This window comes from Homo sapiens, chromosome 5 (assembly GCF_000001405.40).
Source record: "Homo sapiens chromosome 5, GRCh38.p14 Primary Assembly".
NCBI classification, from domain to species: Eukaryota; Metazoa; Chordata; class Mammalia; order Primates; family Hominidae; genus Homo; species Homo sapiens.
Window position 1 is genome coordinate 140,351,407 of NC_000005.10, and position 26,858 is coordinate 140,378,264.

Consider the following 26,858-nt stretch of genomic DNA (forward strand, 5'->3'; position numbering starts at 1 on the left):
GCAGGAGAATCACTTGAGCCTGGGAGGTGCAGGTTGCGGTGAGCTGTGATGGCACCACTGCACTCTAGACTGGGCGACAAAGCAAGACTCCGTCTCAAAAAAAAAAAAAAAAAAAAGACTTGGGGAGACAATTCTATAACAATTGACAGTGCCTGATTTACAGGATGTGATAACCTTTCTCTCTGTGTCTCAGCTTCTTCGTCTATAAGTGGGGAGAATAACAATCTACTTAGGAGGTTCTTGTGACAACTGAAGGAGATAGCATCTCTGAAGTGCTTGGCAAAATGAAAAGCCCTATATAAATACGTCAGAGCTCCTGTTAACTTTTCTGGTGCTTAACCTTGGAATGTGGTCACATCACATTCTGTACCAGGAATGTACAAGTTCGGTTACTCTTAGAAATGCAGTTGCAGGTCTGCAATTTAACAATTTCACATTATCCATTTGCTCGTTTTTTTAACTAAGGGTTGGTCTAAGACAATGGTTCGCAAAGAAAGAGATACTGCCCCCTAGGGGACATTTCAGGAATTTAGTTGTCACTGACTGGGGAGTCCTCAGGCATTTGGGAGAAAAAGGGGTCAGGAAATTACCTGACTGCTTTTGAGTGTCCTACCAAACACATATCGGTAAAAAGCTTGGTTGTAATAACTTGAGCCTAGAATCATCTCTAATTTACACAAAAATATAACAAGAGTTTTTGCAATGACTTCCAGGAATGAAATTAGTGTGAGTTGTTCATTTTGGTGATATCTGAGCTACCAATACAATGCACCTGTTATCAGGCAGTATTTATAGCTGTGACATTCAAGGTAAATCTGTGTGATTGTAATCAATGGGCTACTTCATTGAGATTTCTGAGTAGTTGTTAGCAGGCATTTGCCAATTGAAATAATGTTATTTTAAAAATCATTTTATCTTTTATATTAATTACGGTTTTTTAAATTATTTTGTAGAGAGAGGGTCTTGCTCTGTTGCCCAGGCTGGGATGCAGTAGCACCATCATGGCTCACTGCAGCCTCAATCTCCTGGGTTCAAGCGATCCTCCTGCCCCAGCCTCCTAAGTAGCTAGGACTATAGGCATGCACCACCACACTCAGCTAATTTTTAATTTTTTGTAGAGATAGGGTCTCACTATTTTGCCTAGGCTGGTCTGAAACTCCTGGGCTCAAGCAATCCTTCTGCCTTGGCCTCCCAAATTGTTGGGATTAAAGGTGTGAGCCACCACACCCAGCCAGTATTAATTTCTTTAGAGTAAATGTACAGATAGGATATTATCTTTAAACTTCATTTCAGGATAGTAAAGGGGTGTTAACATTATTTGTCATAAAAAAATGAAATATTGATTCTGAAAGGATTGAGAACCACGGACACAAGAGATACTCACATGAAAAGCCTTTCTATGGCTGGGTGTGGTGGCTCATGTCTATAATCTCAATACTTTGGGAGGCCGAGGTGGGAGGATCACTTGAACTCAGGAGTTCAAGACCAGCCTAGGCAACATAGTGGGACCCTCCCTCTACAAAAAAGACAAAAATTAGCTGGGCATGGTGGCATGCACCTGTAGTCCCAACTACGCTGAGGTAGGAGGATTGCTTAAGCTCAGGAGATGGAAGTTGAGGCTGCTGTGAGCCATGATCGTGTCACTGTACTTCCAGCCTGGGCTACAGAGCAAGACTGTGTCTAAAAGAACAACAACAAAAAAAGCTTTTCTATATATCCTTTGTAAAAGTGCTCTTCCAGATACTATTCCATATAAGGTCCCATGTAATAAATTCCTCTGGTAATGTAGTCTTGACTATCATGGCTATCTGGTATAGGTACTTCCTTTTATTATTAGATAATAACAGGTGTGGAACTCATATGTTCTTTTTTTGCCTCAACTGCCAGGAAGCTCACAGTTAAGTTTTGAGACTCAGTTGCAGTCGTTATCCTTAGCCCAGCATTTTGAGGATAATTTATTTTTTAGACAGGATCTTGCTCTGTCACCCAGGCTGGGGCGCAGTGGTGCGACCACAGCCTACTGCAGCCTTGACCTCCCAGGCTCAAGTGATCATCCCACCTCAGCTTCCCAAGTAGCTGGGACTACAGGTGCACCACCATGCCCAGTTAATTTTTTTTTTATTTTTAGTAGAGATGACATATCACTATGTTGTCTGGGCTGGTCTCCAACTCCTGAACTCAAGTGATCCTCCTTCCTTGGCCTCCCAAAGTGCTGGGATTACAGGTGTGAGCCACCACGCCCAGTCAGACAATTTCTTTCCCTTCCAATTTGATTTAATTATGGGGCTCTCTAGTCATTCTTTATTTTCATTTTATTTCAGAGTTGGGGTTTCACTCCATTGCCTAGGCTGGAGTACAGTGGTGTGATGACAGTTCATTGCAGCCTTGAACTCCTGGGCTCAAGCAACTCTCTTGCCTCAGCCTCCTGAGTAGCTGGGGACTACAGGCACATGCCACCATGCCTAATTAAAAAAAAATTTTTTTTTTCGGTAGAGGCGGGGTCCGGCTATGTTGCCCAGGCTGGTCTCAAACTCCTGGCCACAAGTGATTCTCCTGCCTTGGCCCCACAAAGTGCTGGAATTATAGGCATGAGCCACCTCACTCAGCCCATTCTTTAAATATTTACTTGTTATCTATGTCTTTTATTGTAAGCCGCCTTTAAATCTTTTCTGGAAGTAGGAGGAGCATAAATAATGAAGGTGAAACTCAAATATCATGCACCTGCAGTCTCCTTCCTAGTACTTTCTGAGTCGGGAAGTCTAGGTTGGAGGGGCCTGGAAAGCCTGAGTCAGAGCAGTTGATGGTGGGCTCAGGTGGTCTCATCCTGCAGACTAGATGTCTCTGACACCTCATCCTCTTTCCCCTCAACGGTCTTCACCTTTGTGAAGGAGTGTGGGCACTGTGAGGAGTCGAAGCAGATTCCAGCTATCAGAGCCCACTCCAAGTCTTGGTTGGATCTTGGTGGCCTGGGTTAAGAGTGGGTCAAGGAAGGGCACCCTAGCTCTGGGGTCACAGAAGTCCAAAGCTACAAGTGGAGAGACTCCTTCCACACAACACACACTCCTGTAGCACGCTGTCTGCATCCCTCAGAGCAGAGGCTCTGAAGCTCAGGCTGAGGCATCAGACTGATGCCGTTTTGAACCCTGGGTGTACTCGCTCCTAGCTCTGCTTTGGGCAGGGTACCTCTCTGAGCCTGTTTCCTCATTCAGAAGTAGGAATGATACCTACCTCAGAGGGCTTCACTATTAGGATTATCTCACTGAGATAATCTGTGCAGTGCCAAGGCAGCACCTAGAACACAGCAAGTGCTCAGTACCTGGCAGCAGCTGGGCATCCTAGTCTACCTTGGATTGGTAATTCTCATGCTCTTGTTTGCTTCCCCCAGCGGTGAGCTCCTCCAGGCAAGAGTGTGCATTAAACCTCGGCTCCTGGCTCACAGGCTCAGGGACCATGGCAAACTGCTTAATGTTTCTGAGGCTCAGTGTTCTTACTAGTAAAATGGGGATAATGAAGTCTACTTCAAATTTTGGGTGTGAGTAAAATTATTAACAGTGGTCATTTTTGGGTAAGGGTATGATGAAAAAATTTATGTTTTGTAAGCATTTTTCTCCTATGGGCATTTTCTGTTTTTTTCTTCTGTAACAAACATGAAATATTTGTGTATTTTAAGTCACTTTTCAAAACATGCTTCTTCTTAAGAAAGCCACTGGGTGTGGTGGCTCACACTTGTAATCCTAGCACTTTGGGATGCTGAGGTGGAAAGAGCTCTTGAGCCCAAGTGGTAGAGACTGCAGTGAGCTATGTTTGCACCACTGTACCCTAGCCTGGGCAACAAAGCAAGACCCAGTCTCCAAAAAAAAAAAAAAAAAAAAAAGAAAAGAAAACTTAAATGTATTGAGTGCTTACTATATTTTAGGCATTGCTCTAAGCACTTTTTTTGTTTGTTTGTTTGTTTTGTTTTGTTTTTGAGTCTCACTCTTGTTGCCTAGGCTGGAGTGCAGTGACATGATCTCGGCTCACTGCAACCTCCACCTCTCGGGTTCAAGTGATTCTCCTGCCTAGCTGAGACTACAGGCATGTGCCACTAGGCCCAGCTAGTTTTTGTATTTTTAGTAGAGACGGGGTTTCACCATGTTGGCTAGGCTGGTCTCAAACTCCTGACCTCAGGTGATCCACCGCTTCTGCCTCCCAAAGTGCTGGGATTACAGGCGTGAACCACCGTGCCCGGCCTCTACACACTTTATACACGTTATCTCTAATTCTCACAACACTCCTCTGAGGAAGTTAGTATTTACACCCTAGTTTTATAAATTGGGCTTAAGGAAATTGCACAATTTGCCCAGCTCGTTGTAAGTAAACCTATAAATGTGATAAAATTGCATAAAGCTACACACATACACACATGAGTGCATATGGAAATTGGTGAAATCTGATTAAGGCCTGCAGTCTATTTAACAATATAGTACCTATGTCATTTTTCTGGTTTTGATATTGTACTACTGTCATGAAAGAAGTTACCACCAGACGAAGCTGGATGAAAGCTGGAGATTTGCAATTTCTTGTGAATCTATAATTAGACTCACATTAATAAATATTTTAATTTATGTTTATTTATATATTTATTTTTTAATGAGTGAAACAATAAGTTTGTTTTTGTTTTGTTTTGTTTTGAGACAGGGTCTCGCTCTGTTGCCCAGACTGGAGTACAGTGGCACGATCTGGGCTCACTGCAGCCGCAACCTCTCTCGGGCTCAAGCGATCCTCCCACCACAACCTCCTGAGTAGCTAGCAGCACATGCGTGTGCCACCATGCCCTGCTAGTTTTCTGTATTTTTTGTAGAGATGGGGTTTTGCCATGTTGCTCAGGGTGGTCTCGACCTCCTGAGCTCAAGTGATCCATCCGCATCAGCCTCCCGAAGTGCTGGGATTACAGGTGTGAGCCACCGTGCCCAGCCAATAAGATTTTTTTGTTTTGTTTTTTTAAAGTGTTAAAAACCTTGTAAGGGGCTGGGTGTGGAGGCTCATGCCTGTAATCCTAGCACTATGGGAAGCCATTGGCTTGCACCCAGGAGTTCGAGACCAGCCTGGGCAACATATGAGCCCCTCTCTACAAAATATTTAAAAGTTAGCCAGACTTGGTGGCACGTGCCTGTAGTCCCAGCTACTTAGGAGGCTGAGGCAGGAGGGTCACTTGAGCCCAGGAGTTTGAGGTTGCAGTGAGCTATGATTGCTACTGCACTCCAGCCTGGATGGCAGAGTAAGACCCTGTGTCAAAAAAAGAAAGGAAGAAAGAAAGAAGGAAAATTTAGATTCAGCAAAGATAAACCTCTTCTCCACTTGCCGAAAGTGAGCAAGCCAAGCATCCTATTCCTGAGGCCACTTCCTCTCACTTAAGGTCCAGTGTACTGCATGAAAGTATGATTTGAACCTTGGAAATAATCTACCCCAACTGTCTCCACTTACATGTAAGAAAATGGAGCCTTGGAGAAGGGAAGGGTCTTACTCAAAGACATCCAATAAGTCTGTGACTAAGCCAGGATGAGAACCCAGTCTTTGAACTCCTAGGTCAGGGTTTTTTCCAGCGCCCACACACAGGGCTGCTCACCCACACAGCACATCTTCCCTGGGCCTTGTCTGGGAGACCACTGGTGCCCACAGGCCAACCCTCACCAGCCTACCCAGCCCAGGGCACTCAGGCCCAGAGGTGGAAGTGAGACCTGGGGAGGGTGGAGGCATGGTGGCCCCCTATTCCAGGCAGCACTGTGAGCCAGGGTAGTTGGGGCCACAGAAAGGGCAAGGATAGACACTCTGAACTTTGGCAGGAGTTGGGTGGGAAGGGAACATGTATGTATGTGCATGTGGGGGAGGTACTCACGCCAAATCCTTGCTCCCATCCCCCTCAGGCTCCTTTGAGTCACTTGTCCGTAAGGTTGGGGCACATTCTTGAAGGGAGTGGTCACAGGGGTTCAAGGCCCATTCAGTCCGCAGGCCAGTTTCTATTCCTCCTGGCACTGAAACCACCTCCTCACTCAGACTCAGCACCCCTCCCCAACTGGAAATATAGTGACATGCTCTTCTAATTCCTGCCCTGGGACCTCCTTGGACCAGACGCGAGGCTGGGGGTAGGGCCGGCCTGGGTGCCCTTTCTCAGGGGATGGATTCTTGGTATTCAATATGTGGGGTGTGGCTGACCTACATTCAGATGAGCCTGATTGGCCCTCCCTTCCCCATCCTGTTGTTCTTCCCCAACCCCCCATCTCTCCGGGCCATTCCGCGGTGGGCCAGGGCAAGGCTGAGGGTTTAGGATCTCTCCCTGCCATCTGGGCATCTCCATCTCTGCGCCCCGGCAGGTCTGCAGCCACTGGGCCTAAGGGAGCGGCCCTAGCAATCCGGTCTGAGGGGAGCAGTGCCCTCGTGTGGCCTCCAGGAGAAGCGCGGCTCTTTTCTCAGCCCGGTCCTTTGTATGCTCTCATTGAACAAGTATTTATTGAGAGCCACTACGTGCCAGGCGCCGCTCTAGGCGCCGCGGCCAAGACAGATACCTGCTCCACGGACTGTGCATTTCAGCGTGTGCGTGCGTGGACAGTCAGGCAATAAATGATAAACAAATACATAAATGAGGCAGTTACTAGTAGTGGTAACTGCTAGGAAGAAAATAAAACAGAGAAATGTGATGGAGAGTGACCCAAGAGAGAAACTTAGGGTAGGATGGGCCGGGCGCGGTGCTCACGCCTGTAATCCCTGCACTTTGGAAGGCCGAGGCGGGTGGATCACGAGTTCAGGAGATCGAGACCATACTGGCTAACACGGTGAAACTCCGTCTCTACCAATACAAAAAAAAAAAAAAAAAAAAGAAAGAAATTAGCCGGACGTGGTGGCGGGCGCCTGTAGTCCCAGCTACTCTGGAGGCTGAGGCAGGAGAATGGCGTGAACACGGGAGGCGGAGCTTGCAGTAAGCCGAGATCATGCCACTGCACTCCAGCCTGGGCAACAGAGCGAGACTCCGTCTCAAAAAAAAAAAAAAAAAAAAAAAAGAAAGAAACTTAGGATAGGATGGAAAAGGAAGATTTCCGTGAGTAGCTAACGTCTGAGATGAGACCTAGGTCACAGATTGTCATGTAAGGATATGGGGGAAAGGCTTTCCTTACAGAGAAAATAGATCCTGCAAAGATCCTCAGGCAGGAACAGGTTTTGCAGAACAGGTGAAGGCCAGTGTGGTTAGAAAGGAGTGAGCGAGGGGAGGCTGGTGTGAGATGCCGTCAGAGAGGTGGGTTGGGGCCAGGGTGTGAATCTTGCAGGCCACGACAAGGAGCTTGATTTTTTTTTCTTCTTCTTCTAGGAGTAATGGGAGTGTGTTGGGTGAGTATTGAACCGAAGAGTAATGTGGCTCAACTGCCTTTTGAAAGGACATGTATGGTGTGGAGGATGGACTTTGGGCAAGGGAGGAAGAGTGGAAGCAGGGGGGTTATTACAAGAGACCAGGAAGCTACTGAAATAATTCAGGTGAGAAATGATGGTTGTTTGAATCAGGGTAGCAGTGCTGGAGGTGGGGAGATGTGGTTGGATTATGGGTATATTTTGAAGATAGAGTCAACAGGATTTGCAAATAATGGACCACATTTTCCTTTGCTCATTTAGCTCCAGGAACTCCTTCACTTACACCCCCTAGTGGGCTCCTCCATCCTCACAGGGCAGATCCCAGGGACACAGCTAAATTAGGGAATTCCTAAGTGTTGTTGGACAAAAGAATTTAAGACTCGTTAGCTGGGCAGCCAGGCACAGTGGCTTACGCTTGTAATCCTAGCACTTTGGGAGGCTGAGGCGGATGGATCACCTGAGGTCAGGAGTTTTTGAGACCAGCCTGGCCAACATGGTGAAACCCTGTCTCTACTAAAAATATAAAAATCAGCCAGGCCTGGTGGCACATGTCTGTAATCTCAGCTACTTGGGAGGCTGAGGCAGGAGAATCACTTGAACCCAAGAGGTGAAGGTTGCAGTGAGCTGAGATCACACCACTGCACTCCAGCCTGGGCGACAGAGCGAGACTCCGTCTCAAAAATAAAATAAAATAAAATAAAAGACTTAGCTGGGCATGGTGGCGTGCACCTGTAGTCCCAACTACCTTGGAGGCTGAGGTGGGAGGATCACTTGAGCTAGGAGGTCAAAGGTGCAGTGAGCTATAACTGTGCCACTACACTCCAGACTGGGTGAGAGAGTGAGACCCTGTCTCAAAAAAAAAGAAAAGAAAAGAATTTAAGACTCAGACACTAGGTCTTCCACCATTATCCCATTTAATGGGCAGGTCCTCTGCCTGCTATCTCCCTTACCCTGTCTGGCTTCCATGGACTCAATTATTTATTAGGTCCCTGTTTGTCCAAATAGGTGTGTCTGTGGCCCCAGGGGTGTGTTGGTGACACCCAAAACAGTCCTGGGTGTTTGGTATTTATATTTGATACAAGTGAGGGGGGCAGCAAAATCTGGGGGTACCAAGTCCTCAGACCCAAGCCAATCATTTACTCCTGTTTCTTTACACAAAACACAGTGGGATCAGACCTGATACCACAGGAAATGCACATACACATTTTGGCCCCAGGTTGGGCATTTCTGGAGAGCCTGGGAAAGGCCAGACTAGTCTTACAAATACTCTTATGCCAGCAGGGGGTGGGGTAAGCAAGTAGGGGAGTAGGTGACCGGTAGAGTCTGGAGTCAGCAGGCCTTGTTCTGTTTGTGTTGTGCTGCAGTGGGGGATGCATTATAAATGCAACCAGCCAGAGGGCCCCTGGCTTCAGAACCTAGGACTGTACTGGTTCTGAGATTCTGTGCAAGCCTCATGGAAATGAAGCTGCCAGGCCAGGAAGGGTTTGAAGCCTCCAGTGCTCCTAGAAATATTCCTTCAGGGGAGCTGGACAGCAACCCTGACCCTGGCACCGGCCCCAGCCCTGATGGCCCCTCAGACACAGAGAGCAAGGAACTGGGAGTACCCAAAGACCCTCTGCTCTTCATTCAGCTGAATGAGCTGCTGGGCTGGCCCCAGGCGCTGGAGTGGAGAGAGACAGGCAGGTAAGTTGGATGCAGGCCAGTTCTGTGGGATCCTTCCCCTTCCCCAGCTGGAGCCTCCTATATGTCCCCCAGCGCTTCTTATGGGGCTGCCCAAAATTAGGATTTTCCCAGCTGTGTTCCCTTATTTCAGGGTCTTACCTTCCATGATGCCCAGCCTCCTCTGCAGTCTAGTTTTGAGATCCCCAAGACCCTAGATGAGGGGTGACTGCCAGGGTGGGGGGGAGACTTCACACCACTGGGCCCAGGATGCCCTCATTGCCTTGCCTTCCCTAGCTCCTCTGCATCTCTGCTCCTGGACATGGGAGAAATGCCCTCAATAACACTGTCTACCCACCTTCATCACAGGTGGGTACTGTTTGAGGAGAAGTTGGAGGTGGCTGCAGGCCGGTGGAGTGCCCCCCACGTGCCCACCCTGGCACTGCCCAGCCTCCAGAAGCTCCGCAGCCTGCTGGCCGAGGGCCTTGTACTGCTGGACTGCCCAGCTCAGAGCCTCCTGGAGCTCGTGGGTAGGCTGGGATCCTTTGCAGGAAGGGCCTGGGTAGCCATGCCTTTTCCCCAGGATTTCCCCTCCAAAGTCTTGAAATCTTCCAGAGCCCATCCCTACCCCTCCTAGGATTGTCTACCCTTGTCACAGGGTGGACATGGAAAAGCAGGGTGGAGGAGCAAGTTCATTGGCCCTGGCATTCTGAGACTCCCAGAAGGGAAAGGTGTCTGGGCAGAGGGAGAAGGGGAAGAGTGTGCGGCAGGGAACTCTCAGGAAGGAGATGACCCCCAATCCATTCTCCAGAGCAGGTGACCAGGGTGGAGTCGCTGAGCCCAGAGCTGAGAGGGCAGTTGCAGGCCTTGCTGCTGCAGAGACCCCAGCATTACAACCAGACCACAGGCACCAGGCCCTGCTGGGGTGAGAGCCCCTCCCTGGGCCCAGGACCAAGACCCTGGTGTGGCAGGGTCTCAGATCTCCCCTGCACCTTCCAGGGCTAGAAGTAGCCCAGGCTTAGTTCAGGCTCCAACCCAGGACTCATGAGCAAGAGGAAACTGGTGGTAATGTTGTGGGGAGAAGATTCAGGGGGCTAGAATCGTAAGAGAGTTCTGTGAAGACATGTACTTGGTAGGCACTAGGCCTACCATTTGATCTTCACAGTATCTCATTTGATCTTCACAACCACCCTGTAAATAGTACCACAATTATCCCCATTTTAGTGGTGAGAAAACTGTGGCTCAGAGTGGAGAAGGGTATACTCTAATTCTTACAGCTTGTCAGTGGCAAAAGTGATTAGGGAATCCTGGTGGATCCACCCCCAAAGCCTGTGGTCTTAATCACTGCATAATCCTGTTTTGTAGGCTCTACTCATCCAAGAAAGGCTTCTGACAATGAGGAAGCCCCCCTGAGGGAACAGGTTTGTGGCCCTTCCTTGGGGTCCCTTTCCAGTGGCTGGGAGAGGGGTTAGAAATTAACAAAAGTCTACTCTCCACTGGATTTCTCATCATTTGAGATCTTATCCTCCCCAAATAACCTTTCATATTCTGTGTCTCCTTGAACCCCCATCCAGTGTCAGAACCCCCTGAGACAGAAGCTACCTCCAGGAGCTGAGGCAGGGACTGTGCTGGCAGGGGAGCTGGGCTTCCTGGCACAGCCACTGGGAGCCTTTGTTCGACTGCGGAACCCTGTGGTACTGGGGTCCCTTACTGAGGTGTCCCTCCCAAGCAGGTGAGGCTACTGAGTGAGTGGGAGTCAGGGATCCCAGAACCTAGAAGGGTCTTTACTGAGGAGGGGAAGGAGGGTCTCAGTCTGATTCTCTGAGGCTGTGGGGAGGATGGTGCTCAGGGGTCTGGGGAGAGAGTAGTGGTCAGGGCTGCATGGTAGGTGTGCAAATGAGTGTGTTTATGGGAGCTGATAGGTCAGAGCTGAGCATCAGAGGCCAGGGCTGCCCTGTGGGAAAGCAGCCTGTGAATCTCTGGGGCCTGGTTCCTTCCTCAGGTTTTTCTGCCTTCTCCTGGGCCCCTGTATGCTGGGAAAGGGCTACCATGAGATGGGACGGGCAGCAGCTGTCCTCCTCAGTGACCCGGTGAGCTGAGCAGGTGTGTGTGTGTGCGCGCGCACGCGTGCATGCCTGTGTGTGTGTGCACACATGCATACATGCATGGGCTCATGTGAGTGTGTGTGTGTGGACTCTGTATGTGTCCCTAAATACAGCAATGAGGCACAGTGAGCACTGAGACTGAAGTTTCCTCGTCTCCTAGTGCAGCCCCATTACTGGATGAGTGCTGGCACACTGTAGGCACTCAATAGATACCCACTGAATGAATGAATTAATGCATGCATAAAGGAATGTGTGAATGACTTGTCTGCCTCTGTGACTTGTGTCTGTCTAGTTTTGAGACTATGAAAATGCATGTAAGAGACCAGGTTTGCACTTACCACCCATTCTGTGCCCCCATTCCCAGCAATTCCAGTGGTCAGTTCGTCGGGCCAGCAACCTTCATGACCTTCTGGCAGCCCTGGATGCATTCCTAGAGGAGGTGACAGTGCTTCCCCCAGGTCGGTGGGACCCAACAGCCCGGATTCCCCCGCCCAAATGTCTGCCATCTCAGCACAAAAGGTACCTGGGAGCCATCATCCCATACAGATTCCTGCCCATATAGGCCCTGGGTCTAATTCCATTGTTGAGGAGGGGTGGTGTCCCAGGAAAGAGATAGGGACCTATCTTTGGATTTGGAGTCAGGCAGACCTAACTCTGAGTTCTGCTGGACTACTCTCTCGCTAAGAGACCTGAACAAAGACCTTCCCTGCCCGAGCCTGGCTTTCACAGGTCGCAATATGACCTGGACCTTCTAGAGGCCCAGGTGTCGCCATGGTTCCCTCGCCGGCAGAGACAAGAGCAGCCGCTAGGGGGCAGGGCGCCACGAGCTCTGGACCGAGTCGCAGACTGGTTGGAGATCCTCAGCCAACCTGGGGTTCCCCTCCTCCTCAGGCTTCCCTCGCAACAGCGGGAGATCAGAGGTCCCGCCGTCCCGCGCCTGACCTCGGCTGAGGACAGGCACCGCCATGGGCCACACGCACACAGCCCGGAGTTGCAGCGGACCGGCAGGTGAGGCGAGCTGGGAGGAAACAAGGGTAGGTGACCTGGGGGAGGGGAGGAGTCACAGGGAAACTGAGGTGTGTGCTCACTGTGGGAGGGGCTCACCCGGTCACAGGGAAAGTAGCGGGGATGCGGGTGTGGAGTGTGAAAACCTGGATCACTGACGACCCTCGGGCGGGAGGCTGTTTGGGGGCCTTATCCAGGACGTGCGCAGGAAGGTCCCGTGGTACCCCAGCGATTTCTTGGACGCCCTGCATCTCCAGTGCTTCTCGGCCGTACTCTACATTTACCTGGCCACTGTCACTAATGCCATCACTTTTGGGGGTCTGCTGGGAGATGCCACTGATGGTGCCCAGGTGGGTAGGGCCCAGGGGGCAGGCACAAGCGTTGGTGTCCCCTAGTCCATCCCTTCCCCTGGGACTATGGGTAAGTTAAGGAGGCTCTCCCAAAGCTTCAAAGGACCCCGAGGACTTCAGGGTCCTGTGCTGAGCCCCTGTTGGCTTCCAGGGAGTGCTGGAAAGTTTCCTGGGCACAGCAGTGGCTGGAGCTGCCTTCTGCCTGATGGCAGGCCAGCCCCTCACCATTCTGAGCAGCACGGGGCCAGTGCTGGTCTTTGAGCGCCTGCTCTTCTCTTTCAGCAGGTAGGAGAGCTCCCCCCATCACCGGACCCTCACTAGTGCCATGGTCAGCCTGCTCCTGGCTGGGTGAATAGGAGAGAGTGGGAGCTATCTGTTTGGGTTGAGGGACACCTGACCTGGGTTTAGTGGGAAGCAGACAGCCCTGCTAAGCCAGCCTTCCTGTCTCTCATCCCCACAGAGATTACAGCCTGGACTACCTGCCCTTCCGCCTATGGGTGGGCATCTGGGTGGCTACCTTTTGCCTGGTGCTGGTGGCCACAGAGGCCAGTGTGCTGGTGCGCTACTTCACCCGCTTCACTGAGGAAGGTTTCTGTGCCCTCATCAGCCTCATCTTCATCTACGATGCTGTGGGCAAAATGCTGAACTTGACCCATACCTATCCTATCCAGAAGCCTGGGTCCTCTGCCTACGGGTGCCTCTGCCAATACCCAGGCCCAGGAGGTGGGTAAGGGAAACAGGGACCTTGGTCAGGTGAAGAAGGATGTAGGGAAGGGGAGGGGCTGCACCCTTACTATCCCCCCTGGTTAAGTTCAGCAAAATGCTGCATACTTACCCAATAACTGGCAGTACTATTTACACTCTGGTTCTGAATCAATTGAGAAATAAGACAACAGAAGGCCTGATATCATCTTCCTTTCTGACAACACTGATAAAGGAACATGGGTTATATCTGTGGGTGAATGGGCTTCCTAATGATGAAGCCAAAATTGAATAGACTTACCCACCAGTCGTGGAAGCACTGGTTTGAGACTATCTTACCCCAGGGGAGTAGAGCTAAATACATACATCAAACAGGCAGCTTATACTCGAGAGAGGGGAGAGAAAGGGGCAGGGCCAGGTATGCCCAGCTTCATTTCCTGAAATCACCAATCAAATATATCACTGCTCTTCTGGGTGAGAGTGGCCGGCCAGGTGGAGAGAGGCTTGGAGTATTACACTTGCATATATCCCTCCACATGGAAGGCAACCCCAGGACTGGGAAGAAGTGGCCTCTCTATATGTTCTCCTATCAGTGCTAGGCATGAACAAGACCAGTTCTAGCCCTGGTGGAAACACACAGATTTGTATACTCCTCTATTCAGCCAACATTTGCTGAGCATCTACTGTGGCCAGGTCCAGTGCTTGGTACCAGGGATGCAGATGGGTAGAGAATTTGAGAGGATGGGGGCATGAGACAATGTCCTTCTCGCACACTTGGTAGTGATAGAGTCAGCAGACAGATGAGTCACAATTAAGAACTCTGGTTCACCTGGACCCATCAGATAAGAATTTTATGGGGCTGGAGGAGGTTCCCAGGGGAGGGAACATACATCTGAATTCTTCTCTGCTTCCCAGGAAATGAGTCTCAATGGATAAGGACAAGGCCAAAAGACAGAGACGACATTGTAAGCATGGTGAGGGACTGCTCCTGGGAGGTTCTAGGAAGGAAAGGGTGGAGACCAAGGCAGTCGGTGGTTTCTAGCTCTTCCTACCCATAGGTTAAGGAAACCTTCATAGGTGAGTAAAGCTTAGCCATTTCCTACAGCTGGGAACTTCCCATCCTGGGCCCCTGGTGTCTCTGTGGGTCCCTCCTCCCTTGAAGTTGGTCCAGGAGAGCAGGACATTTACTCCATTGCCTATAACTCCACTCCTGACCCTCCTGTGTACAGGACTTAGGCCTGATCAATGCATCCTTGCTGCCGCCACCTGAGTGCACCCGGCAGGGAGGCCACCCTCGTGGCCCTGGCTGTCATACAGTCCCAGACATTGCCTTCTTCTCCCTTCTCCTCTTCCTTACTTCTTTCTTCTTTGCTATGGCCCTCAAGTGTGTAAAGACCAGCCGCTTCTTCCCCTCTGTGGTGAGTTTCACCTTTCTTTCTGTGGGAGAGGCCTGACTCTAAGCTTTGGGTCCTATCTGTGATGGGAAGTGGTGTGGAAAAAGAGAGATGGCAGGCCTGGACCTGACTGAGTGTCCACTGTGTGCCAGGTGCGCAAAGGGCTCAGCGACTTCTCCTCAGTCCTGGCCATCCTGCTCGGCTGTGGCCTTGATGCTTTCCTGGGCCTAGCCACACCAAAGCTCATGGTACCCAGAGAGTTCAAGGTGAGAGCCAGGGAAGAGGGTTGGGGGACCAGAGGGGAAAGCAGGGCCAGCAGACCATGGGGAAGGAAAATGAATAAATCCCACACTTCTCTAAGCTTCTTTCTTCACTAATAAGCTAGAGATAGTAATAATAATGGCCTCACAGGGTTGTCATGAGGATTAAATGAAGTACTGCAGCAGACACGTGAGTACAGAGAATACACGGTAGCTATTATTACAGGGTATGGGTTAAGAGAATGGGTTCTGATCAGCCAGCCCTGGGTTTGAGTTCCAGTTCTTCCACTTCCCAGCTATGCATTAGGCAAGTTAATGCACATTTCTAAGCCTCAATTTCTTCGTCTATAAAATGGAAATAATAAAATGACAATAGTTCCTACCCCGTAGATTGTTTTGAGGTTTACAGAAGATCACAGTGGAAAGCACTTACCACATGCCTGGCACATACCAAGTCCTCAATAAATGTTAGCTATTATTGTTACGGGATTGCCCCACCCTTGGCGTGGCCCTGCCCACTCCACTACTCCTCACTCTCTTCTTCCCACCCCACGTTGCCTACCCTGATCCAGGAAAGCTGGAACTCCCTTTCCAGGGCATGACAGTGTGCAGGACAAGGCTTAGCACTGATTTCTAGACTTTGCCTTTGCATTTGGAGACCTCCTCTCCAAATTCCCCCAAGACAGGAGAGCAGGGAGGAATCCAGCTGGGGCAGCAACTGGGGCCCCCTCCCCAACACATATGCTTGTAATCAGCGTGGACACAGACACACCCAGCCCTGTCCCTGCCTCAGATCAAGGCAGGTCTGAGCCTGAGTTGCCCCACCCGGGATAGGGGGAGAGGGATCTCTAGGGAGCAGGGCTCTGTACATCAAGAAGTGTGTGTAGGCCACATGTGCCACCTCCTTCTGTTCCAGGGAGGGAGGGACCCTGAACCAAAGTCCAGAGCCCCTGGTTCCAGCCTGACCTCAGGGCTGGTCTCCTTCCATCTGCTGTCTTTTAAGGCACTGGGATGCTTTGAACCAGCTATGCACACACAGCCCACTAGCATCTAGTGACTTGGGGTGGGGGCAGGTTGTGGAAGAATGCCAAGGTTGAGATGTGCAGGTGAGATGCTCTTGGGAGACCCACTCCAACCTGTCCATGAAATGCCCTCCTCCAGCCCACACTCCCTGGGCGTGGCTGGCTGGTGTCACCTTTTGGAGCCAACCCCTGGTGGTGGAGTGTGGCAGCTGCCCTGCCTGCCCTGCTGCTGTCTATCCTCATCTTCATGGACCAACAGATCACAGCAGTCATCCTCAACCGCATGGAATACAGACTGCAGGTAAGGCCTGCTGGGTAAGGCCCAAGACCAAGGGACAGAAGCTCCAGGGGAGTCTACGCTCCTCCTCTCCTACCTCAGAGGACAGAGGGCTGGGGCCTGGGCTAGCTTCATCCTCATTGCCCCCACCACTACCTGCAGAAGGGAGCTGGCTTCCACCTGGACCTCTTCTGTGTGGCTGTGCTGATGCTACTCACATCAGCGCTTGGACTGCCTTGGTATGTCTCAGCCACTGTCATCTCCCTGGCTCACATGGACAGTCTTCGGAGAGAGAGCAGAGCCTGTGCCCCCGGGGAGCGCCCCAACTTCCTGGGTATCAGGTGAGGGCGGTATTTAGGAAGTGGAGTAAGAGGTGGGCAGCAAGGTAAGGCAAAGGGGAACATGGCAGAGTTACTTGGGCAGCTTAAATTCTAAGCTGGTGTCCCACAAGCATTGCAGTGGCAGAATGAGTGAGTTCTGGGCTCTGAGATGGGTGAGTCAGATCTTCCCCTCTCTCCCCTCAGCCATGGGGACTGGGAGGGGCCTCAAGAGGATTATCATCCATGCAAAGGTAGAGGCAGCCAGGGCTGAAGTGGAGGGTCAGGTGCCACCTAATAATCCTCACTCAATGTAGAAGTTACAAAGGAATCCATCATAAAAGCAATTTTGGAACTGTTGGAAGCACAGTCTAAGTATCTAAAGTATATGAAATCAACTTGATAAATTGTGAAATGTAAGTCTTTATGGCAGTGTAAACATTGCTAATTTTCCATCAAAATAAAAATAAGGAGCAACTATGAACTTGAATTGATGGAGAGGTCTGGGACTCTCACCTTGAAGTGCTCTGCCCCTTCCTCTCCACCAATTTTTCACATCAAGCTAAGGGCTCATCCCTCTGGGTGACCTACTGGGGTATTCCTCTAGTTTTCTCTTGCTGCCGGGGTCTGTACTGGTATTCAGCCAGGATCTCCAGTCTGGATACCCCAGGGACTCTCCCAGACCTCAGCTAACTCCTCCCTCTCCCCACAGGGAACAGAGGCTGACAGGCCTGGTGGTGTTCATCCTTACAGGAGCCTCCATCTTCCTGGCACCTGTGCTCAAGGTACCTTTGTTATACAAGCCAGGATCAGGGTCAGTGTAGTAATAATAGGAGCACAGCAAGAACTGACAGTAGTTGAATACTTACAGTGTGCCAGGTGCTCTGTTAAGTTTTCTCCATACATGGTCTCATTTAATCCTCACATTAACCCTGAAAGGAGTATGTACCTTACAAATGAGGCAGATGAAGTTTAAAGAGGCAAAGAAACTTGCAAGAGCCCATCAAAAGAGCCAGTTTTTCAGATCTGTCTGAGAACTCAAACGCTTATCCAATGGGCTTTTTACCCAGTGGAGCAAGGTGTGGGTGTGCCACCACCATCCCCTAGGGTCTAAGTGCTACCCTTGCTCTAGCCTCCCAACAAACCTGAGACTAAGAGTATGATCAGCCCAGGTGCGGTGGCTCATGCCTGTAATCCCAGCACTTTGGGAGGCTGAGGTGGGAGGATCACTTGAGCGCAGAAGTTTGAGACCTACCTGGGCAACATAAGGAGACTCTGTCTCTGCAAAAAATAAAAAAGGTAGCTGGGCATGGTGGTGTGTGCCTAAGGTGGAAGGATCGCTTGAGCCCAGGAGTTTGAGAGTGCAGTAGGTGGTGATCACTGGATGACAAGAGCAAGAATGTCTCAAAAAAAAAAAACAAAAAAAAACCAAAAAACAACAACAGAAAAACTTTGAGGCAAAAAGCCTTCACTTCTCCTTCACCAGAGGTATATGGAATATTTGCTATATGCAAGACTGCTAGGCACTTGGGAGAAGTACGGGTCAGTGGAATATTGAAAAGAAATATGGAACTAAGCCCCTACCAGCAACACACACAAATGAGCAAAAATTAAGTAACAAGTAATAGCAAAAAGGTTGAACAAGCCAAGACAGCAAGCAGTCAAGGAGGGTGTGGAGAATGTCAGACAAGGGTCACTGGCAGGACGACAAGAGGTTAGGGAAGGGAAAGGTCATGGAAGCTGGGTGAAAGTGGAGTAGGGAAAGAGCCAGATGGACCGGATCAGCCACTTACTAACTGGGTGACTCTCATTTACAGACATTTACAGAGCATAAACCATATGCTAGGCCGGGTGTGGTGGCTCACACCTGTAATCCCAGCACTTTGGGAGGCCGAGGTGGGCGGATTGCTTGAGCTCAGGAGTTTGAGACCAGCCTGTGCAACATGGCGAAACCCCGTCTCTACAAAAAATACAAAAGTTAGCTGGGCATGGTTGTGTGCACCTGTAGTCTCAGCTACTTGGGAGGCTAAGGTGGGAGCATCACTTGAGCCCAGGAGGTCTAGGCTGCAATGAGCCAGGTTTGTGACACTGGACTCCAGCCTGGGCAACAGAGTGAGATCTTGTCTCAAAAAACAAAACAAAACAAAAAATCCCAAAAAACAGAAAACCCTAAACAAAAAAACAAACAAAAACCCACATGCCACGCACTGTTCTAGGTACTGGGGATATAATGGTGCTCAAAAGAAATCATTTTTCTAACCTTACAACCTGGTGAGAGGAGAAAGATTTTTAAAAATTAAAACAAGAAGCCAGGCACGGTGGCTCACGCCTGTAATCCCAGCACTTTGGGAGGCTGAGGCGGGTGGATCATCTGAGGTCAGGAGTTCGAGTCTAGCCTGGCCAACATGGCGAAACCCCATCTCTACTAAAAATATAAAAGTTAGCTGGGCGTGGTGGGGGGTGCCTATAATCCCAGCTACTTGGGAGGCTGAGGTATGAGAATCGCTTGAGCCTGGGGGGATGGAGGTTGCAGTGAGCCGAGATCAAGCCACATCACTCCAGTCTGGGTGGAAGAACGAAACTCCACCTCAAAAAAAAAAAAACAAAAACAAAAAAACAAATTAAAACAAGAGAATAGGATAACTTTAGATAGTGATAACTTCTGTGAAAAATAAAAGAAGATAAGATGATTAAGAGTGCCAGGGGCTACTTTAGATGGGGCCTGAAGTTAAAAAGTCAATGAAGACCTTTCAGGGTGTCATGAGAGGAGGCATGAGTAATAAGAATAAACTGGTCATGAGAAAGTCTGGGGGAAGAGCATTTTAGGTGGAGGGAATAGCAAAGCAAAAGGCTTTGCAAGGGGTAGGAACAAACTTGGGCATGTTGAGGGAAGGAAAGGCGGTTAGTATAGTGGGAGCATAAAGAACAGAAGGAAATGTGATAGATAAGATTGGAATGGTAGGCCAGGTAATGGACAAAGTTACTTAGTCCCTCTGAAATTCAATTTCCCAATCTGTAAAATGAAGGCAATAATAACATTTACTTCATCTAATTGATTTGAGGATTCAATAAGATCGGCATGAAACATGTGAAAGGAAAGGCAAGGCCTGGGCAGACCTGGATGCTAGATGCTAGAGGGATCTAGGGCATCTGGGCATCCTGGGGCATCTGGGAGGTTGGCAGAGGTAAACTTTGATAACTCTCTGCTTCTTTCTACCAGTTCATTCCAATGCCTGTGCTCTATGGCATCTTCCTGTATATGGGGGTGGCAGCGCTCAGCAGCATTCAGGTGAGCCCATTAAAATCACCTAACAAAAGAAAAAAGAAGAATAAAAAGACAAACAAAAAAGAACAAAATTACCTAGCAACCCTACTCCTTTTTTCTTTTCTGCTGGCATCTCCTGCTTACACTTGCCAATTTCCCTCTTACTCTCTTTTTCCTGTCTCTCCTGGACTCAGGGACTCGGCTGCCATGCTCTCTGCCTGCTCCCAGTGCTGGGCTATGATAGCTATCAGTGACACCCTCCTATCAGGCTACCTGAGTGCCCTGCTTTCCTCTTCCTCTTGTTCCCCTAGTTCACTAATAGGGTGAAGCTGTTGTTGATGCCAGCAAAACACCAGCCAGACCTGCTACTCTTGCGGCATGTGCCTCTGACCAGGGTCCACCTCTTCACAGCCATCCAGCTTGCCTGTCTGGGGCTGCTTTGGATAATCAAGTCTACCCCTGCAGCCATCATCTTCCCCCTCATGGTAAGCTGAGGCAGGGTTGGGCTGTGTCCTGGAGGGTCTTGGGAGACTCTGAGCCTGGAAGGGTGGCCAAGGCCTCCACGAGAGGAAGAATCTCCCCTCTCACTCGCTGTGGCTCTCCCTGGTTGGGAATCCTAAGACAAAGAAAAAGATGGCAGGATGATACCTATGTATGGGCTAGTCCTGGGATACCTGATTCACCTCTTTTCCCAACCTCTTTGGAGTGATCAGCCACAGGTAAGAATATAAAACCCAGAAGAAATCTGAGGTCTTGGTAGAGGAAATGGTGACACTTTTATTACTCAGTGAGGTGATAACATAGGTGGCTTCTGGCCTTGTTCTTATTGAGGAAGTTAAGAGTCACAGGCTTTGCAGTAGAATCAATCTGCTTATATATCCCAGATGTGTGACCTCTGGGAAGTAACTAATCACTTGGGGTCTCAGTTTCCTTCCCTGTACAATGGGAATAATTTATTCTATCTACCTCATAGGAATGTGCTAGCATTCAGTGAAACTGATATACAATGCCTAGCACATAGGAAGTGCTCAATAAGTGTTACTATTGTTAATGTTCCTACTACTGTTGCTGACAGGCCTGGGCCATGTTTCTATTCCTGCAGTTGCTGGGCCTTGTGGGGGTCCGAAAGGCCCTGGAGAGGGTCTTCTCACCACAGGAACTCCTCTGGCTGGATGAGCTGATGCCAGAGGAGGAGAGAAGCATCCCTGAGAAGGGGCTGGAGCCAGAACACTCATTCAGTGGAAGTGACAGTGAAGATGTGAGCTCCAGGCTGGGTCCTCTCAGGAGAATGTGTCAGGGTTTGGGAGAGCGTTCTTGTCCAGGAGCTGTCCCTAAATAATATCTCCAGTAAGCCCGCAGATCTGATCAACAGTCACTTCCCTTATCTGTGTATGGACATAGGCAGACTGAAGGGGTGAAGGAAATCTTTCTTCATAGGACAGGGGCCCTCGATGTGGGTGGAAAGGGCTGAGGCTTCAGCTCAAGTGGGCTGTCTTTCTCAACTCTGATCTTTGTTTTGTCTCACTGTGGGTTTACCTCTATGTTGTCTTTCACTATCTGTCTTTCTATCTATTCTCAATCCATCTTGGGATCTGTCTTCCACAGTCAGAGCTGATGTATCAGCCAAAGGCTCCAGAAATCAACATTTCTGTGAATTAGCTGGAGTAGGAGTCTGGGAGTGGAGACCCCAGGAAACAGCATGAGGTGAGGGTGTGAGGGAAGTGCTCCTGATGTTGAGGATGGGAGGTGCGGGTTCAGACCTTGGAACTCTCCAGTGTGTTGGCCAGCCCTGTTTTCTCCTTACTCCAGTCCCTTAGGAATCCTAGATTGGGGGTGCTGGGGTGTAGAAGGGTCTCTTCCTAGCGAAGAGTAACTGGCAAGGGTGCCTGGGCTTGGCTCCCTGTGGTTCTGAAGTTTGGTCAGTAGAGGGAGCTCAAACTCACACCAAATGAGAAGTGGAAATGGGTGTTGTGGGGGGCGGTGCCCTGGCAAAAGAATGGGAAAGAGTGGGAAGGAAGAGGAAGGGAGGAGAAAGCCTGGTGCTCCTTTCCCTTGCTTGGAAGGCTCCCCCCTTAGGCTGCTGAGAACCACACTCCAGACTTGTGGAGGAAATCTCTATCACTTGTCCTCTCTGCCATTCCTTCATTTTATTCATCCATATATCAAGCATTTTCTGAGTACCTATCATGCAGTATCTTGGTACTAGAGATACAGTAGTGAGTAAGACAGTCATGGTCCCTGACCTCAGGAAACTTAAATCCCAGTGGGAGAGTAGACAAATAAACAGACAATTGTTAGAGTGGGATAGTGCTGATAAGGGAATAACAGGGGCCATGGGAGCAGGGCTTCTGACCTCTTCTTGGAGAATAGTAAGGTGGAGTGGTGAGAGTTGGTGAAGGTGGGGTGGTGGTGGTTGGGTGGTGGGTGTTCCATTTCTAAGAGGAAATGGTCCATAATTTGAAATCCAAATAATGAATAGAAGCTAGCCAGGTAGCTGGGCACAGCAGCACACAATTGTAGTGCCAGCTACTAGGGAGGCTGAGGCAAGAGGATTCTTTGAGCCCAGGACTTCAAGCTGTAGTGTGCAATAATCACGACTGTGAATAGCCAGTGCACTCCAGCCTGGGCAACATAGTGAGATCCTGTCTCTAAAAAAATTTTTTTTAAAAGGAGCAAGCCAGGACAAGATGGAGGGAAAATATTCTAAGGAAGGCCACAGCATGTACAAAAGCCTACAACTGGTTGCCTTTAAAAAGCTGAGCTCTCTTTTGGGGCTGGGTACAGTGGTTTACACCTGTAATCCCAGCACTTTGGGAGGCAGAGGTGGGTGGATCACTTGAGTTCAGGAGTTTGAGACCAGCCTGGCCAACATAGTGAAACTCTGTCTCTACTAAAAAATAATAAAATTAGCCGGGTGTGGTGGTGCATGCCTGTAAGAGGCTGAGGCAGGAGAATCACTTGAACCTGGGAGGTGGAGGTTCGGAAGTTGCAGTGAGCCGAGATTGTGCCACTGCACTCCAGCCTGGGCGACGGAGCGAGACTCCGTCTCAAAAAAAAAATCAAAAACAAAAATCTCTCTTTTAGGCCATAGAACACCCTCATCTTCATGCTTCTCCAAGCTCAAGAGCCTAAGAGCCAGGCCAGGCACGGTGGCTCACGCCTGTAATCCCAGCACTTTGGGAGGCCGAGGCGGGTGGATTACTTGAGGTCAGGAGTTTGAGATCAGCCTGGCCAACATGGTGAAACCCTGTCTCTACTAAAAATACAAAAATTAGCTGGGTGTGGTGGCAGACACCTGTAATCCCAGCTACTGGAGAGGAGAATTGCCTGAACCCGGGAGGCGGAGGTTGCAGTGAGCCGAGATTGCACCATTGCACTCCAGCCTGGGCGACAAGAGCAAAACTCCCTCTCAAAAAAAAAAAAAAAAAAAAAAAAAGCACCTAAGGGCCTCTGACACTTGCAATGGGAAATTTGGGGGACTGGAGACTGGAGAGAGAAAGGGGAATTCACTGGCTGGCCCCGAACAAGATCTTCTGGGCGCTCCTTATCTCTTATCACTCTTTTTGCTCTGTTCTTTGCAGTAGTATGTCCCCTGAGCACTTGCTTTGGCCTCACCATGTCTTCTATTAGTTCACAGGTGCTTACTCAGGAAGTCAGGACATTTTTGGCCTTTGGCTTAACTTCCAGATGCTCAGTCGGCTTGGGGAAGGACTGAAGGGCAGCTGCCAAGACCTCAGTTACCTCCTGACCTGAGGGTGGAGAGTGGCAGGAAGCAAGCATGTTTGCTGTGCACTTAGGAAAGGCTGGTGAGCCAGAGGGACTGATCAGGCCCCATTCACTCTCTACTCATTAAAAGGTCCTGAGCCACGAAGCGCTTCCCATTTTGAACTTTCTGTCCTCACAGATTCTGTTTGACAGAATCTAAGGGCCATCAGGGAACTCTTTTCATCTTGCAAAGAGAAAAAGCCAGTCTTTCCAGAATAAATATTCATCTGTTTGAAATAGTTTTTTACACATATAAAAATAATTTTTGGCTGGGTGTGGTGGCACATGCCTGTAGTCCTAGCACTTTGGGAGGCTGAGGTGGGTCCAGAGTAGCCTGAACAACAGAGTGAAACCTTGTTTCCACACACACACACACACACACACACACACACACACAAAAAAAAAAAAACCAAAAAAAAATTAGCTAGGTGTGGTGGTGCATGCCTGTGGTCCCAGCTACTCAGGAAGCTGAGGCAGGAGGATCGATTGCTTGAGCCTGGAGGATCACTTGAGTCTGAGAGGTCGAGGCTACAGTGAGCCATGATCATGCCACTGCACTCCAGACACAGGAACAGAGCGAGAACCTGTCTCAAATTTTTTTTTAAAAAAAGAAGCAAAAAAAGCCGGGTGTAGTGGCTCACGCCTGTAATCCCAGCACTTTGGGAGGCCGAGGTGGTTGGATCATGAGATCAGGAGTTCGAGACCAGCCTGACCAACACGGTGAAACCCCATCTCTACTAAAAATACAAAAATTAGCCAGGCGTGGTGGCACGCACTTGTAATCCCAGCTACTGAGGAGGCTGAGGCAGAAGAATCACTTGAACCAGGGAGGCGGAGGTTGCAGTGAGCCAAGATTGTGCCATTGCATTCCAGCCTGGGCAGCAGAGTGAGACTTTGTCTCAAAAAAAAAAAAAAAAAAAAAAAAAAAAAAAAAAGAAGAAGCAAGAAAAAAAATCTTGGGCTGGGCATGGTGGCTCACGCCTGTAATCCTAGCACTGTGGGAGGCCGAGGTGGGTGGATCACTTGAGGTCAGGAGTTTGAGACCAGTCTGGCCAACATGGCAAAACCTCGTCTCTACTAAAAATGTAAAAATTAGCCTGGCATGGTGGCATGTGCCTGTAATCCCAGCTACTTGGGAGGCTGAGGCAGGAGAATCGCTTGAACCAGAAGACAGAGGCTGCAGTGAGCCAAGATCACACCACTGCACTCTAGCCTGGGCAACAGAGCAAGACTGTGTCTCAAAAACAAACAAGCAAACGAACAAAAAACATGTTGATGCATGTAGTTGTAGTTTGTTTTCATTGCTAGGTAGCACTCCATTGTATAACTCTACCACAATTCAATTATCCAGTTTTCTATTGACTCACAGAATTCACTGGTGAAGCCACTGGGGCCTGGAGGTTGCTTTGCGGAAAGTTTAAGTTGATTCAAATTCTTTAATTTTCAGGTTCTTTATTTCTTCTTCAGCCATTTTTGGTGAATTGTATTTTTCTGGGAATCTATTGATTTTATCTAATTTTTCATATTTATTGACATAAAGTTATTATAACTCTTACCTGCTTAATATCTGTAGCACATTTAGTTATGGTTTTCTTATTTCTCTTTGTTTTTGATTCTTGGTTACTCTTGCAAGTTAAGCTATTTTATTAGTCTTTTTAAATTAACTTTTGGCTTTGTTGATCTTCTCTACTGAATGTTTCTCTACTTCATTAATTTCTGCTCTTTATTTTCTTCTTTCTGTTTTCTTTATGTTTATTGCTGTTTTTTAATTTCTTATCTCCTTTTTTTCAGCCTTATTTGTTTCCTAATGTAAACACTACTGCTATGAATTTCCTCCTAAGTACTACTTGTATCTTACAGGTTTTGATATATAATCTTCTCATTACCATTTATTTCTTCTAAGTATTTTCTAATTTCTACTGATTTCTCCTTTGATCCACAAGTTGTTGAAAAGTGCATTTAAAAATTTTCCAAACTTTTTTTTCCTTTATCTTTTTGTAACTGATTTCTAACTTAATTTCATTTAGATACTTATGAGGAGGCCAGGAGCAGTGGCTCATGCCTGTAATCCCAGCACTTTGGGAGGCTGAGGCAGGTGGATCACGAGGTCAGGAGTTCGAAACCATCCTGGCTAACACGGTGAAACCTCGTCTCTACTAAAAATACAAAAAATTAGCCGGGCGTGGTGATGGGCGACTGTAGTCCCAGCTACTTGGAAGGCTGAGGCAGGAGAATAGCGTGAACCCAGGAGATGGAGCCTGCAGTGAGCCGAGATCATGCCACTGCACTCCAGGCTGGGGGACAGAGCAAGACTCCATCACACACACACACACACACACACACACACACACACACACACACACACCTATCAGTTAGATACTTATGAGGCTAACTTTATGGCCTGGAATGTTGTTAATTTTTGTAAATGTTCCATGTGTACTTGAAAATAATGCTTATTCTCCAATTTTCTCTTTTTTTTTTTTTTTTTTTTTTTTGAGACGGAGTCTCGCTCTGTCGCCCAGGCTGGAGTGCAGTGGCGGGATCTCGGCTCATTGCAACCTCCGCCTCCTGGGTTCAAGCGATTCTTCTGCCTCAGCCTCCGGAGTAGCTGGGATTACAGGTGCCTGCCACGACGCCCGGCTAATTTTTGTATTTTTACTAGAGACGGGATTTCACCATGTTGGCCAAGCTGGTCTTGAACTCCTGACCTCAGGTGATCCAACTGCCTTGGCCTCCCAAAGTGCTGGGATTGCAGGCGTGAGCCACTGCGCCCGGCCCTCCAATTTTCTATTTCTATTAGGCCAGCCTACTAACTGTGCTGTTCCAGATGTTCTATATATGGCATGACTTTCTTCGGCCTGTTTGAACTAGCAAGTACTAGGGAAGGTATTTTAATAAACCTATTATGATAATAAATTCGTCACTATCTCCTTGAAGAATTTGTCAATTTTTGCTTTTATGTATTTTTAAATGCTGTGTTTTGAGTGCTTTCTAGTTTAGAATTGTTATATCTTACTGGTTAATTGATCCTTTTATTATTTTGTAATGATTTTATTTTGTAGTGATTAGTAATTCTTTCTGCTTAATAGTTATTTTGTCTGCTAGAAATATAGTTAAATTAGCTTTCTTGTGATTAGAATTTACCTATATTATATATTTCCATTCTTTGAATTTTAGTGTTTCTGTGTTCTTATATTTTACCTGTATTTTTCGTAATCATCATGTGGTCAGATTTAGTTTTTTTTGTATTTACTTTTATTTTATTTTACATAAAAAATTTTTTAGAGGCAAGGTCTCACTCTGTCACCCAGGCTGGAGCGTAGTGGCATGATCTTGGCTCACTGCAGCCTCAACCTCCTG

The 26,858-nt window shown here is 48.6% G+C and overlaps 1 protein-coding gene and 1 long non-coding RNA gene across 22 annotated transcripts in view, besides 3 other annotated features; one reads left to right on the forward strand and one right to left on the reverse strand.

Moving 5' to 3' along the window:
• SLC4A9 (solute carrier family 4 member 9) lies at positions 8,788-23,735 on the forward strand. 20 transcript variants are annotated; one of them, NM_001258428.2, is made up of 22 exons: positions 8,788-9,060; positions 9,334-9,566; positions 9,848-9,961; positions 10,402-10,457; positions 10,611-10,768; positions 11,039-11,126; positions 11,506-11,660; positions 12,033-12,149; positions 12,322-12,496; positions 12,648-12,781; positions 12,957-13,219; positions 14,114-14,172; positions 14,428-14,616; positions 14,745-14,858; positions 16,014-16,175; positions 16,314-16,492; positions 17,181-17,253; positions 19,689-19,757; positions 20,045-20,218; positions 20,836-20,991; positions 21,339-21,437; positions 23,364-23,735. In NM_001258428.2, exons 1-21 carry the CDS (start codon positions 8,831-8,833, stop codon positions 21,390-21,392), a joined length of 2,952 nt encoding a protein of 983 aa, NP_001245357.1. In that variant the 5' UTR covers positions 8,788-8,830; the 3' UTR covers positions 21,393-21,437; positions 23,364-23,735. The 20 variants fall into 20 exon arrangements, with proteins under 20 accessions (NP_001245357.1, XP_005268578.3, NP_113655.2 ...); XM_005268521.4 differs by having other exon boundaries at positions 9,406-9,566; NM_031467.3 differs by having other exon boundaries at positions 9,406-9,566; positions 23,421-23,735.
• Positions 11,649-11,798: an enhancer, noted in NCBI's record as "active region_23268". NCBI's record gives its function as "activates an Ori minimal core promoter by ATAC-STARR-seq in GM12878 lymphoblastoid cells {active_cell/tissue: GM12878}" and the evidence as "EXISTENCE:reporter gene assay evidence [ECO:0000049][PMID:35858748]".
• Positions 11,649-12,214: a biological region, named in NCBI's record as "H3K4me1 hESC enhancer GRCh37_chr5:139742660-139743205".
• Positions 11,669-12,214: an enhancer, noted in NCBI's record as "H3K4me1 hESC enhancer chr5:139742660-139743205 (GRCh37/hg19 assembly coordinates)". NCBI's record gives its function as "activates a minimal SCP1, AML or CMV promoter by ChIP-STARR-seq in primed H9 embryonic stem cells {active_cell/tissue: H9 hESC(primed)}" and the evidence as "EXISTENCE:reporter gene assay evidence [ECO:0000049][PMID:30033119]".
• ANKHD1-DT (ANKHD1 divergent transcript) overlaps positions 19,490-26,858 on the reverse strand; it is a 30,506-nt gene continuing 23,137 nt past the window's right edge. The window contains exons 2-3 of one of the 2 annotated variants that reach the window (NR_186044.1): positions 20,007-20,349; positions 19,490-19,776 (exon numbers count right to left, since the gene is read on the reverse strand). This is a non-coding gene — a long non-coding RNA (ANKHD1 divergent transcript). The remainder of the gene's footprint in view (positions 19,777-20,006; positions 20,350-26,858) is intronic. The other variant, NR_186045.1, reaches the window with a different exon arrangement.

Excerpts from the sequence above, each read along its gene's own strand:
- SLC4A9 (XM_017009933.2), top strand. The coding sequence starts at position 8,831 with ATGGAAATGAAGCTGCCAGGCCAGGAAGGGTTTGAAGCCTCCAGTGCT. Across the intron at positions 10,769-11,038 it reads GAGGTGTCCCTCCCAAGCAG|GTTTTTCTGCCTTCTCCTGG; the intron begins GTGAGGCTACTG and ends TTCCTTCCTCAG. Across the intron at positions 19,758-20,044 it reads CAGCGCTCAGCAGCATTCAG|TTCACTAATAGGGTGAAGCT; the intron begins GTGAGCCCATTA and ends TTGTTCCCCTAG.